This window comes from Homo sapiens, chromosome 4 (assembly GCF_000001405.40).
Source record: "Homo sapiens chromosome 4, GRCh38.p14 Primary Assembly".
NCBI lineage: Eukaryota > Metazoa > Chordata > Mammalia > Primates > Hominidae > Homo > Homo sapiens.
The window spans coordinates 67,997,445-68,013,636 of NC_000004.12; the positions used below are offsets into that span (position 1 = coordinate 67,997,445).

At 34.8% G+C, this 16,192-nt stretch overlaps 1 pseudogene; it reads left to right on the plus strand.

The window, feature by feature from the left end:
- Positions 6,451-6,557, plus strand: RNU6-95P (RNA, U6 small nuclear 95, pseudogene; annotated as a pseudogene).

Below are 16,192 nucleotides of genomic sequence, written 5' to 3' on the forward strand. Positions count from 1 at the left end.
GTGAAGAGCTTCACTACAGCGATATCATCCTCGTGTTTATGGGCAGCATAGTTCTCATGAATAATAATTGACTCCCCCTTTCTTCTCATTAGTGAGGGATTCGGGTTATTCCAAAACTAGCCATCCAGAGTTTGGGTTTTTCTTCACTGATCACAGAGTAAAAGGAATACAGTTGGTTCATTTCTAATTTAAATTTGCCCAGGACTGTGGATGGGCAGGGGACATAAATGTGGGAGAAGGGCAAATTTTTTAAGGTAATAATTGATTGGGACCATCCCACCTTCTTATCTGAGGCTTCTCTCCTAAGACTGCTTTGCTTTCATCTACTTGCTAACAAACCGCCATTCCAAGGTAGCTTAAATTACTGTCCTTGAGGGAAGCTTGTATTTTTATATTATTCCACATTATCCTATATTATTGCCATTTTTGACTATAAAAATAATACAAATTAATTTAAGAAAACAAATAATTATAAAGTAGACATATATACACGTAGATTCACATATACACTCATATCAAGGCACAATCATATAAATGTATGTATAGTTATAAAGAGAAAGAGAGGTAAAATTGGAGCGATATTTTATATATTTATATTGTTTCCTTATGCTTTCTTTTTATTTAGCATCTTATCCAGAATATTCTCCCATTTTATATAAATTTTACTAGGGTTACTGTATCTCTTTATTATTTCCAAGTGTTCTATATGTTAAATTGTCGAAAAATATACAAAGAATAAAAGCACAGCACCAAAGGTATTCATGTGGGATCACCAGATATAACCTATAGTTTAGAATACTATTAACAGAGTTTTTTTTTTAATCTAAAATATCTCTCAGGAGAACTGGTGAGTGTGTATAATTTTTCACAATGCTGGCTTGTTCCTACTTAAAATTGAGATTGTTGGAGTGTATATTTTCAGGTGGAACTGAAGATACTCTTTCTAATTTTTTCTGCTCTTCTTCAGTTAACTGTCTTTTATTCCTAAGCCTGCTGGACAATCATAAGTGGCACCGGGAGGCCTAAGATGTTTTCTTCTTTGGGTGTTTGTTTGTTTGTTTGTTTTTTGAGATGGAGTATCACTCTGTCACTCAGGCTGAAGTGTGATGGTGTGATCTCAGCTCACTGCAACTTCTGCCGCCCGGGTTCAAGTGATTCTCCTGTCTCAGCCTCATGAGTAGCTGGGACTATGGGCACGTGCCACCAAGTCCAGCTAATTTTTGTATTTTTAGTAGAGACGGGTGTCACTATGTTGGCCAGGCTGGAGCCTAAGATGTTTATAAAGGAAATGTAAAAGAGAGAACTATAGGATGTGAAGAGATGAAAAAGAGGTGAAGCTGGTGATCCCATGGGTATAGACTGGGAACTCACAAGTCAAAACAGTGACCCGCTGTCAGGAGCCACTCTTCACTGATCAAAGATGCACCACACAAATGGATCCCCTCCACCTGCAGGCTAGCTTGCCAGGCCAATCACCTTTTCTTGCAATCCGACCATCAGCAATTCTTTTGGTGGATGGAAACTCCTTCCCTAAACCACAACCTGTGAGAAGGGAATAAGATGGCTAATTCCAGAGTTATAAACATATGTAGATATGTTTGGCACATAGTTAAGGACAGAAATATCTACAAATGTGTCTTACCCTAAAAAAATTATTGAAATTAATGTTAAATAAAGTAATGGTAATGCACATTGATAAAATGTGATTATTCACACTTTAAATAAGTATTAACGTTTTAAAAATTATTTAACACTCTCTCTGGTGAATTTAAAACAACATCATTTTAAAATTTGGCTTTTCACATTTTTTGGGGTCATGTTCTTATGTGCAGCAGTTTACCCTAATAATATATTTTGAATGCCAAGTGTACACTATTTATTGCAGAAAATAACGTATATAGTCTTTTAAAATACATGTCTAGCATTACAACCAAAATACTAATATAGCATAAATGTCAAAGTTTCTATATTAAAGTTTTTGGGTGTCATTTAACCCTAAGCAAAATTTACTACTTTAACAAAGGAGGCCAAATAAAAATAAATACAATGAAATAAAAGAAAATTGTTAAAGAAGACATTAGCGAAACTTTCTGTGAGGAAGAGCAAAAATTTTCAAGGACTACATATAGATTTCTCAATTATGATTAGTAATTTTTCCCTCTGAGGGCAATCAAATCACATATCCATCTAGAGATATTATATACTTTTGAGAAAGAGTAAACATGGGGAAAGAGAAATGCTAAATGTGTTGAGTTTTGTTCTTTGATTTGTAAACATCTTAGTGATATTCTTGAACTTACAGCTGTTCAGAATGTGTTCTGCTTGTGCTGCATTCATATCTGAAAAAAAACCCAGGAGATACTCAGTGATGAAATTATTATAACTTAAAATACTATTCTTACATGATATGACCTTTTTCTGGCTGAGAGGAACTGCATAAGTCAGAAATTTTTAATTCAAAGGCAAAAGAATAAAATCCTACATAAAGGAGAAGCCTGGATGTAAATTGAACTCTTCTGACTGTATGTGGACTCCAGGAAAATCCTGGTTTCTGGTTATAAGACCATTGGCTTAGAGAAGGATACAGTTTGCCATAAAGGAAGGAGTCTTCTAGTTAATCAATGCCAAAACAATATTTTAAACTGTAAGTTAAAACAGAAGAGTCCAAGACTAGTCTTACATGTGCACTACTATATGTCAGGAAACCATTTCCTTCTGTCCCCATTAATGCATCTTAGAAGCCTGGCAATCTACACTTGGTCCATGTATGCTCCCTGTGGAATCAAAATTCACCAATGTGCTAACAAAACCTATCTTGTTAGTCTTTTTTTTTCAAAATGTGAAATAAAGAAAACCATAATCAGTGGCTGTTTCCCCAAATTATTTGAATTGCTCTGTATCCTAATTAGTATAATGAGCAATCTAGACCCACATTTTGTTAAGATGAAAGCCAATGTGGAGTTTTGGTGAGCCTGAAAACTGATGAGTCTTTAATTTAGGTAAGACTCTAAAGCGGTACATTGAGTTCATCTGCAGGAAACTATACTTAAGGATTTTATCAGAATAAATCCCTTAGAATTAAATTTTGCCACTAATGGCTTCCGTGGCTTCTAGAATAAACCAAACTTTCTACCTGGACCTACATGATATGGTCCTTATTTATGTCTCTGATGGCAAGTTGCCCTGCTACTGCTCTTAGCATGACTCAATGGCCACCTTGGCCTTCCTGTTTCTTAACTGTGCAAAGGTATTCCTGCCTGCAATCTGTGTTCTAGCTGTGCCTTTTGCCAGGAATGCTTATTTCCCTTGGCCTTTTTATGGTTGGTTTCCCCTTGTCACTCAGATCTCAGCTTTAAAATACCCTCCTCAGAGAGGACTTCCATTACAACCAAATCTAAGGTAGCTTTTTACTCTCTCTGTTCTCTGCATGGAGTTTCAAATTATCTGATATTACCTTGTTTATTTTTTATCTAGTTATTATTTTCCTTGCCACAATTAGAATATTAGTTCTATGAAGCAGAGACTTTAATTTTTGGCACAAATAGTTTCTCCATAAATACTTGCTGAGTGAATAAATAAATGGTAATCATAACAAATAATTTACTAAGCCTTGTATATTAGGTTCTATGACAAAATTTATTTGCTTATTATATCCTCACAATAATATTATGAGGCAAGTTTATTAAGAACATGATTTATTTTTATTTTTTTAGGGACAGGGTCTCACTCTGTTGCCCTGGATGGAGTGCAGTGATACAATCATAGCTCATTGCAGCCTCAAACTCCTGGCCTCAAGCAATTCTCTAGCCTTGGCCTTCCAAAGTTCTGGGAATATAGGAGTGAGCTGCCATGCCCAGCCAGGGCATGATTTAATAATTCTTGAGGCAAAAGCTTGTCCCGCATACATTTCACTGTAACATCAATTAAGTTTAGCGCCATTCTCTGTAGGTTATGGAGCAGTGGGAGGGGGTAGAGTTACAATTAGTTCACAGCTAAGTTTAGCTTAATCCTAAACTCATCTCCATTTATGTAAAAACTATTGTTGAACTTCCACGATGGTGCTATATATCATGTGTGAGCATTACGTAATACACGTGTTCCACCTGCAGGATAAAAGAGGTTGAATACCTCCAGTTCTAGAACAGGATTGTGTAGGCTCACTTTTCCCTGTTCATCTCCTATAAAACAACTAGGTAATCTAAAAATTATTCATCAGATAACAATAAAAGAACTCTGAAAGCTGGAAGGAAGAAGACAGAATGGCTAGAGACTTCAGAATTTGAGGAAGGACAAGTGGTGCGTGTTCCTGGATTTTCTTTTTATTTCACATATATGCTGGACTGAGGACCAGAAAGACCTGCAATTTGTAATCATCAACAGGAATAGACAAAACGATCCCAATACAAGTCTGTTCTCTCTATCCAAAGTACTGGGAAAGGGAAAGCACAACAGACAGCTAATGGGAAACTCAAACCTTCTGCTTCACAGCCAAGGCCTGGCAGTCCATTCTGCCAGCAGCAGTGACAGCCGAAAGCCCTTGACCATCCCAATCCACACTTCAAAACCAGGAACTACCTGGCAGACTGATACACCCACAAAGACAGTGGCAGCAGAGACCTGCATCTACTCAGAAACATAAGAAGACTCAGGCCCAGTGCACCCCTCCACAAAGGGTGGCCCACTGATTCAAGGCAGCCGAGGGAAGCATGTTCTACTCCCACAAAAGGCACGGGAAACAGTAATTAAGAGGAAGTGCAGAATAGTACTGGAAGGATATGAAAACTAAATTGTCACTGAAACAACAAAAGTAAGAATCTGTACTCTAAACCTAAACAGGTTGCCTATTGGTTAAAGTAGAAGAATTAAATAGAACCAGAAGTCTCCTAATGTAACTAAAATGTTCAGGATACAAAGAAAAATTGCTCACCATACCCAAAAACAGGAAAACTATAATCTAAATGAGAAAAGACAGTCAACCAGTGCCAATCCTGAGATGAATAAGATGTTGGATGTGCCTGATGTGTATTTTAAAGACCTGCCATAAAAGTGATGTAGAAATAAAGTATAAATTATCTTGAAACAAAAAAAAAACTAGAAAATCTCAGCAAAGAAATAGAAATTATAAAAAGGACCAAATGAAAGATTACAGGACTGAATAATACAATAAGCAAAATAACAACAATAATAATAATGAACAAATTTGATGGATGGTGCTAATAGTGGAGTAGAAAAGATGGAGAATAAAGTTAGTAAACTTGAATATAAGTCACTAGAATTTACTTAGTCTGAAGACAGAATATAAATGGATTGAAAAAAATGAACAAAGCCTCTGGGATCTGTGGGGCAGTAACAAAAGATCTAACATTGGTATCATCAGATTTTCAGAAAGAGAGGAAAAGAAGTGTGAGGCTGAAAAATATTCAAAGAACTATTGAAAACTCCCCAAATTTGGCCAACGATAGAGACCAATAGACTCAAGAAGATGAGTAAATCCCAAAGAGTATGAACTGCAAGAATCCATACCAAGACTCATTATAATTAAAGTACTAAAAATGAAAGAAAAAAATCTTAAAAGCATACAGAGAAAAATGATGCATTACCTGAGCAGAACACCAATTCAGTAACAGTGGTTCTCATCTGAAACCATGAAGGCCAAATGAAAGTGGCACAGCATTTTTCAAGTTCTGAAAAAAAAGAACTATCAAACCTGAATCCTATACCCTGTGAAACTGTCCTTGAGATATATAGAAGAAATAAGTATATTCTCAGATGAAGACAAACAAAAAGAAGTTGTTTCTAACAAACCTTCTCTTAAATAATGAGTAAACAACAGTATTCAAACAAAAAGCAAATGATTACAGGAGACTAGAATGTGCAGAAAGAAAAGAAAGATACAGAATGGGTAAAAATAAAAGTAAACCAAACAGACTATCTTTCACTTAATGAGTTTCTTAAAGAAATATATTTTATGGTTGAAGGAAAAACTATGACACCAACTGATGTTGTGCTGAATGTATATTGAAGAAATATTTAAGATAAGTATACTTTAAAAATGGGTAGGTTAAAGAGACCCAAACTGAAGTAAAGTTTCTACATTTCATTTGAAGTGGTAAAATGTCAGCACCACTAGGCTGTGATTAGTTATGTATATATATGATAATACTCACAATAGTCTCTAAGATGACTACACAAATTGATAAATTTTAAAAAGCTATAAATAAATCAAAATAAAATTATAAAAAAGTATTCAAGTTACTCACAAAAGGATAAGAAAAAAGGAACAGAGAAATAAGACACATCAAACAATAAACAAATTATAAAATGAAAGCCTTAAACCCTAACATATCAATAATTAGTATGTAAATGGTTTAAGCACAACAATTAAAAGCCAAGGGTTGGCAGAATGGATTTTAAAAACATAACTCAACAATGTGGTTTATAAGAGACTCAGTGCTCACTTCGGCAGCACATATACGAAAATTGGAACAATACAGAGAAGATTATCCTGGCCCCTACACAAGGATGACACAAAAATGTATGAAACGTTCCATAATATTCCACTACAAGCACACTGAAGTACACAGTCCAATGACACTAGGAAGCAACACATAGACAAGTCTGCAAAATAACCAGCTAGCATCATGATGACAGGATCAAATTCATGTATAAACAATATTAACCTTAAATATAAATAGGCTAAATGCCCCAGTTAAAAGGCATAGAATGGCCAGCTGAATAAAGAGTCAAGAGCCATCAGTATGCAGTCTTCAATGGACCCATCTCATGTGCAAAGACAGACATAGGCTCAAAATAAAGGGATGAAAGAAAATTTACCAAGTGGAAAACAGAAAAAAGCAGGGGTTGCAATCCTAGTTTCTGACAAACTGGATTTTAAACAAAGATAAAAACAGACAAAGAAGGGCATTACATAAAGGTAAAGGGTTCAATTCAACAAGAAGAGCTAACTATCCTAAATATATATGCACCCAATACATGAGTAGATTTATAAAGCAAATTCTTAGAGACCTACAAAGAGACTTATATTCACCACAGTAATAGTGAAAAGACTTCACTGACAATGTTAGACAGATCGAGACAGAAAATTAACGAAGATATTCAGGACCTGAACTCAGCTCTGGATCAAGCAGACCTCATATATATCTACAGAAATCTCCAGTCAAAACAACAGAATATACATTCTTCACATCGCCACATGGGACTTACTCTAAAATTGATCACATAGTCGGAAGAACTGAAATTATAACAAGCAGTCGCTCAGACCACAGCGCAATAAAATTAGAACTCAAGATTAAGAAACTCACTCAAAACCACACAACTACATAGAAATTGAACAACCTACTCCTGAATGACTCCTGGGTAAATAATGAAATTAAGGCAGAAATCAATAACTTCTTTGAAATTAATAAGAACAAAAAGACAATTTACCAGAGTCTCTGGCATTCAGCTAAAGTAGTGTTAAGAGGGAAATTTATAACACTAAATGCCCACATCAAAAAACTAGAAAGATCTCAAATCAACAACCTAACATTACAACTAAAAGAATTAGAGAATCAAGAGCAAACAAACCTCAAAGCAAGCAGATGGCAAGAAATAACTAAGATCAGAGTAGAACTGAAGGAGATAGAGACACGAAAAACCCTTTAAATAATCAACAAATCCAGAAGCTGTTTGCTTTTAATTAATAAAATAGATAGAAGGCCAGCTAGAATAATAAAGAAGAAAAGAGAGAAGACTCAAATAGACACAATCGGAAATGATAAGGGAGATATCACCACTGACCCCACAGAAATATGAACAACCATCAGAGAGTACTGTAAACATGTCTATGCACATACACTAGAAAATCTAGAAGAAATGGATAAATTCCTGGACACATACACCCAACCAAGACTGAAACAAAAATAAATTGAATCCCTGAACAGACCAGTAATGGGTTCTGAAGTTAAGGCAGTAATAAATAGCCTATCAACCAAAAAGAGCCCACGACCAGACAGATTCAAAACTGAATTCTGCCAGAGGTACAAAGAAGACCTTCAAACAATACTACAAGGCTATAGTAACCAAAACAACATGGTACCAGTACAAAAACAGACACATAGTCCAATGGAACCGAATAGATATCTCAGAAATAAGACCGCACATCTACAACCATCTGATCTTGGAAAAGCCTGACAAAAACAAGCAATTGGGAAAGGATTCCCTATTCAATAAATGGTGTTGAGAGAACTGGCTAGCCATATGCAGAAAGTTGAAACTGGACCCCTTCTTTACATCAGGCACAAAAGTTAACTCTTGGGAGGCCGAGACAGGTGGATCATGAGGTCAAGAGATCGAGACCATCCTGGCCAACATGGTGAAACTCCGTCTCTACTAAAAATACAAAAATTAGCTGGGCATGGTGGCGCATGCCTGTAGTCCCAGCTACTCGAGAGGCTGAGGCAGGAGAATAGCTTGAACAGGGAGGTGGAGGTTGCAGTGAGCCGAGATTGCACCACTTCACTCTAGCCTGCTGATAGAGCAAGACTCCATTTCAAAGATAAAATAAAATAAAATAAAATAAAATAAAATAAAATAAAATAAAATAAAATAACACAAGATGGATTAAAGCCTTAAATGTAAAACCCACAACTATAAAAACACTAGAAGAAAATTTAGGCAATACCATTCAAGACATAGAAATGGACAAATATTTCATGACTAAAAAGCCAAACCGATTGCAGCAAAAGCAAAAATTGACAAATGGGATTTAATTAAACTAAAGAGCTTCTGCACAGCAAAAGAAACTATCATCAGGGTGAACAGAAACCTACAAAATAGGAGAAAATTTTTACAGCCTATCCATCTGATCCATCTGATAAATGTCTAATATCCAGAGTCTACAAGGAACTTAAACAAATGTACAAGAAAAAAACAATTTCAATGAAAAGTGGGCAAAGGACATGAACAGACACTTCTCAAAAGAAGACATATATGCATTCAAGAAACATACAAAAAAGAGCTCAACATCACTGATCATTGGAGAAAAGCAAATCAAAACCGCAATGAGACACCATCTCACACCAGTCAGAATGGCTACTATTAAAAAATCACAAAACAACAGATGCTGGCAAGGTTGTGGAGAAAAAGGAATGCTTTTACACTGTTGGTGGGAATGTAAATTAGTTCAACCATTGTGGAACACAGTGTGGCGATTCCTGAAAGACCTAGAGGCAGAAATACCATCTAACCCAGCAATCCCATTACTGGGTGTATACCCAAAAGAATAGAAACCATTCTATTACAAGGATACACATGCGTATGTTCATTGCAACACTATTCACAATAGCAAAGACACAGAATCAACCCAAATGCCCAAAAATAATAGCCTGGATAAAGAAAATGTAGTGCATATACACCATGGAATACTATGCAGCCATAAAAAGGAATGAAATAGTGTCCTTTGCAGGGACATGGATGGAGTTGGAAGCCATTATCCTCAGCAAACTAACACAAGAACAGAAAACCAAACACCACATATTCTCATTTATAAGTGAGAGCTGAATGATGATAACACATAGACACATGAAGGGGAACAACACACACTGGGGCCTGTTGGAAGGCGGGTGGTAGGAGGAGGGAGAGCAGCAGGAAGAATAGCTAATGGACGCTGGGCTGAATACCTAGGTGATGGGTTGATCTGTGTAGTAAACCACCATAGCACATGTTTACCTATGTAACAAACCTGCACATCCTGCACATGTACCCCTCAACTTAAAATGAAAGTTGAAGAAAAAATGTTTTAATGTTTTATTTTTTAATTGACAAAAAAGAAACTTATTTCAAACATAGCTACATAAATAAACCAAAAGTAAAAGAACGGAAAAGATAAATCATAAAAACAATTTTAAAGAAGAGTAGCTGTATTGGTATCAGATCATGTAAATTTCAAAGCGTGGAAAATTACTAGGGCCAAAGAGGCATATTATGTAATGATAAAGGATCAATCCATCACGAACTAGAGTAGCCAAAACAATTTCGGTAGAGGAGAATAAAGTGGGATAAATCATTTTTACTAATGTTAAGGCTTAATATACTGTTGCAGTAATCAAGAAATTATGGTACCAGTGAAAGGATAGACCTAAATCAATGGAAAAGAATGGAGAACCCAAAAGTAGATTCATACAAATATTCCCGATATGCCTAATTAGTTTTTGACAAAGGAGCAAAAGTAACTCAATGGAAGATGAATAACTGTTTTATAAATGGTACTGGAACAATGGAACATCAATTAAAAAATTTTAAAAAGCCTCTACCTAAATCTCACAGCATAGAAAAATTAGCTCAAAATGGATTATAGACTTAAATGTAAAATATAATGTAATGCAAGACTATGAAACTTCCAGAAAAAATATAAAATGTGGAAAAAGTATAAGTTTAAAAAGTACAAAACTTATAGAAAAGAGCCTAGATACCTGAGAAAGTCCATAAAATAACACATTAAATTTATTTATTTTTTCTTAGTAATTTTGAAAGCATTTTTACACCTTCCTAAAGGGTAAGTTCTACATTTATTATCTTAATTTTGCAAAACAGGAACTGATGCACAAAGTTTCAGCAACTTTTGCAAGGCTGGACTACTGTTATTATTGCTAGAATACAGGTCTTCTGAGTCCTAGACTAGCGTTCTCTCTACCATCATCTGCAGTCTCTCTGAATGCATTCCATGCATTTTTTCTTTATATTCTTTAAATGATGTTTCTTATCCTATAAAATTCAACTCTAGTTTTAAAATTTTGAAATATGCAACCTCTCACTTTTTCCCCCTATACAGTTCTAAAACTTTATGTGGAAAGAGAAATGATTTTAAGGTCTTCAGTTTTCTGTTGTATTATTACTTTTAAAAGTTCCCTCTTTTGGCCGGGCACAGTGGCTCACGCCTGTAATCCCAGCACTTTGGGAGGCCGAGGCGGGCAGATCACGAGGTCAGGAGATCAAGACCATCCTGGCTAACACGGTGAAACCCCGTCTCTACTAAAAATACAAAAAAATTAGCCGGGCGTGGTGGTGGGCGCCTGTAATCCCAGTTACTTGGGAGGCTGAGGCAGGAGAATGGCGAGAACCCGGGAGGCGGAGCTTGTGTGGAGCCGAGATCACGCCACTGCACTCCAGCCTGGGCGACAGAGCAAGACTCAGTCTCAATTAAAAAAAAAAAAAAAAAGTTCCCTCTTTTTTCCTGCCCACTTTCAAGAGATTGAGTTGTTTTATACAGTTAAAGATAAAACATCTCACAAATACCATGTTCCTGTCCTGTGTTGAGCTCTATGCTAACGCTGGGGATGTGCTTGTGACTACAGCAGGCATATTTCCTGTGTTCAAAAAGTTATATCTTTTGGAGAGAAACATGAAATAAAAAATATGCAAATCAAAGCAACTCCCAAGCACCCTTGTGAAGTACATAAGTATAAGGAATTACCACTGTAAGGAAGCCTTTGTTTGGGAATGAGGATCATCTCAACAATAACTTGCTTAGACAAGCAACTGAGTATCTGGTGATGGGTGATGCATCACCAGTAGATGCCTATACGAACCAATAATGAGACCTAAATCACCCCCTCCCCCCACCCATCCGACAACACTGTGAAAGGATCTAAGTCCCTCTAGAACCATAAAGCAGGTGTCAGGGTAAGAGTGAAGGATAGATCCACAAATAATGAGTTTAAGATTTTAACATTTGACTTAAAAGTAAAGTTACACTTGACAGATACCTATACCTCCTCAACAAAACATTTCCTTCAGGAAGTCTTGTCTCTGCTACCTATAGTCCAGTGCTTTGAATTCAGAGTCTATTCTGTCCTGTCTGCATAACTAATGGAACTGAATGTTGGGTATTACTCACAGAGACTACTCATTCTTATCTTCAAGCTATTTTTTCTTCTTTCTGACTTTTGTCAAATCTATAATATAATTTTCTCTTCTGTTAACATACTATAATGTATATGCTCTAGCCTCCCAGGATAGTTCTGGGAAAAGGTACTGAGTGAAGATTTACTGATAATTAGTAATTTTCGATCAGTCTTATAATCTCATTGCAAAAGTTAAACAAGTTCTGCTAAAACATGACGACTTCAAAGCTAATTCCTGAGAGGCAGCTAGTAGTTTTAGAATTACAATGAGCTTGATTTAATTTCATATCCTGAACATTTATCAATCAGTTCTTTGTGTCTGTGTTGCAAATAAGATGGTGTCTTTATGTCTGAGACAGATACTATCCAAGTCTGATGTCTTTCTTGTCCTTCTCCCCACTCCATGTCCTGGGCCAATCCTATCCTGTGTGCTGCAGAGAGGGTATGAGAGTGTATCCTACAGTGCCAGGGCTCTTTCCTTCTTCCTACCATATTTTGGTTGTGCCCTACATATTGTGGTTTGTGCATCCATACCACTTTCACATTCTGGATTCATATTGGAAAGAGTATTTCAAGAGAGTCAGACACTATAGATTACTACTGTATATCAACAGCAGAGTGTTGGTTTTTATCATATATATGCTGCATTAATACAAACAATTCCACTGAGATCTTTTTTAAAAAGGAAGAAATGCTATTATACTTGGGTTACCATACAATTCTTATTTTATAATTATTTCCATACTAGCCAAAAGAAGATAATCTTCCTTATCACAATCAAAAGATGTGTTCATTATCAAGTAAACAAGAGACTTAAAATGAAAAGTAGTTTTCTTTATGGTGAAATAAAGAAGCTCTCTTTGTAGATGAGAAGATTATTAAAATGAGTAACTATAATATGAAAGAAAAATAGTATTCCTTGCCTCTAAGATAAGGTAATGAAGTGTCTGTCTTCAAGAAGCTTTCATTTGATTTCAACTTCTGATGCAAAATGTTATCAGCTTGTGTTTTTATTGCGTTCTCATTGTTAGGAATAAACTGAAATTTAAGCAATACATCTGCTTTCAAATTGTCATTACTTGGCCTGAAAAACAAAATAACCAGAATGAACGAGGCCAGAGCCACAGTAATTCTTATGTCATACTTTATTACTTAAATATTAGTTATATCTTCAAGAAAATACGACATAAATATTTTACACATTTTATTGTCATAGATTCTCTCCTCTTGTGTCATACAAGTATTAATAGCTAAATTATTCCCTGCTTGTAAAACTTCATCATATTTAGGAAGGGGAGAGTATCTGACAGTTCTAGAATTATCTTTTCTAAAAAAGAAATCAAAAGCACTTGTTATGTCCACCAACTTTTTATATATATATATCATAAACTACATATGTGAATATATATTCCTGTGATTCAAAAATTCATAATAGCTGTTTATTATTTTCTAAAGTCAGTAAAATTGAGAGCAGTAGTTAATAATTGTAAGAATCTTCTGTATGAAATGCAAAAGACTTTAAAATGACAACCAGTAGAATATATTTCATCACTACTCAAGAAACTCTCTCACTACAGAAACTATACAGGAGGAATCACAAATGTAATAATATTAAACTATTTTTGCTCTTGATATAGCTAAGATCTTTAGACCTGTTTACAAAGCAATTAATTGAAGAATAACTATATAATACAAAGCTGCCTTTTATAATCATACAAATTTATTAACTGTGATTACCTAAAGTTGACAACTTGACACTTTATGTAATGATGGTTTAAATTGGATCTCTGAAATATCTGAGAAAAGAAAAAAACAACAAATTAGAGCTTTGTTAAATATGAATTTCACACATTTCAATATATCACAAAAATGCTTACATAAAGCTTGCTGTGATACAAATAACATTTACTTCAATGTTTATTTACGGTTATCCCCCCAAACCTCATTTGAGCATGAACTCGCCATCATAAAGATTATCTCTATAACTGGATGATGATACTTGAACAACTTGTCACATGGTCAAAGATGACTATCTAAAGAGTTGACTTAATGCAGTATTTCAACCTCTATTATAAAATATACATGGAGCAGGAGGCACAGAGATTTGAAAGTTGGATATATATGGACACATCACTCACTCATCACTCAGTATCATTCCAGCTCAGTTATCATCCTCATGGATGTGATTGAAAGATCAGCTTTTTAGGCTCTAAATAAATTCTTTTGGCCAGATTTTGATGCTGTGGCAAATGGGAGAAAGGAAGAGAATATATATTATTGAACACCTCTCTAGAATCATCATACTTACCAATAAAAATGCATGAAAGGATTACTTAGAATAAGATAAGACTGTAAATGCCACTGGTGTCATTTTAGACTTCCTACATAGGATAATTTATCTGTGGTATAAATACCTAGGTCAAATTATTTCTTAATAAAACCACAGCTTGTTACAAAATATGTGGTCTTATAAGCCTGTTTATAGACTCATCAAGCTGACTTGTCAGAAAAAAGACTGACTATATATTGAACCTTAAGTGAACCTGAGTCTGCATAGTGAGTTTCACAAACCACAAGAGAAGAGCTGCTAAGTTGTGAAACTGGGTGTATGTCAAATAAGTGCTTTTCATTCATCTGACTTGATTTATGAAATTTTCTTTGGTGAAATGCCATGTAATATCATCTTGAATAGCATGGTGAGCACAAGTTAATTAATAAATCAATAGTTACTCAAAACAAATGGCTATATGTTTTTCTTCTAATTAACTATGAAGCGAAATTTGTTTTTGAAGAATATATTTTTATATACACATGCACATTTATATGACAAAACTAATACATATTTATTGTTAAAAAATTTTAAAGTAAACAATATAGAAAATGTATTGGAAAGCATTAAAGTCATTTTTAAATCACTGTCTAGAGAACTTGTTATTTACATTCTGGTATATATGCTTCCAGATTTTATATTTACATGTTTATATATACATAAAATATATTCTCTCTATATATACAAATATAGATGTTTATATAATATCTATATGTTTTCTGCCTGCCTCCTTCCATTTTCTTTCCAATTTAATAATTTTTTTTCTAGGTAAATCGCAGCTTCATGAGTCATGTATCATCCATGGTAATTGAGCACATAAACAGTCCGGATTATTGAACTCCTCAAGAAAGTATAAAATGCATTTTAGGTACAGGTTTTCATCTTTTTCTTTTAAGAATATGTTTGCTATAACTGTAACTCAGTTCTACAAGGATTGGCAAACTATAGCCTGTACACAAAATCGAACCTGCTACCTGTGTTTATATTGCTCATGATCCAAGGATGGTCTTCATGCCTTTTTAATAGTTGAAAAAAAGAATAAGAAGGGTATTTTTGATATCCAAAAATTTTACAAAATTCAAGTTTCAGTGCTCATAATAAATTTTTATTGAAACGTTGTCACACCTACTTGTTTATGTGTTGTCTATGGCTGCTTTAACACAACAATAACAGCTGTGAGTAGTTGCACAGACACTGTGTGTCCTGCAAAGTTGAAAATATTTACTATCTTGCATTTTATAGAAAAAGTTTGCATTTACCTCTGGTCTAAATTGCTGCATTGCCTTTCTTTATATGTTATCTCCATTTATGCATTAAGGGACAGGACCAATATTAGTAAATTGATCATTTATTTACTAGTCATCTCCTTGATGAGTATTTATATGGGCCTACCATGTACAAACACTGTGAAAGGCACAAGAAATATAAGAAGAAATGGAGTTAGCTCCAGCACAAATTAATTCACAAGTTAAAAGGGGGCATAGACATATAATATTTTCATAATTTATGATCAGTACTTTAGAAAAGGTACACAAAAAGTTCTGTGAGAGCATTGGAAACAGATGCTAACATTTATTAGGATATTACCTTTCATGCTTTGTATTCATTACATCTAGTGATCCTTAAAATAACACTGGGAGTTGGGTGAAATTATCCCCATTTTGTAGTGTAAACTTTTAGGGGTCAAGCAACTTTTTGAAAGTTATTAGAATGACAAAGGATAAGACTGGGATATCCTTTGTGGCATCTAGATGTCTATGACTTCGAAGTTTGGGCTGTCTCTAATTCAATATCTTAATTCCTGTAACAAAATATTCTTTACACTGGCCTGCTTTTTTCCCCCTCAAAGAAAATGTCCTTAAGATGTATTTTTGAAAAGGCATACCCACTCCACTCCGTAGCATTCTTCAAACCATTTCATCTGCTTCTGGTTTGGGTTGTGAAATGGCTGAAGAAATAT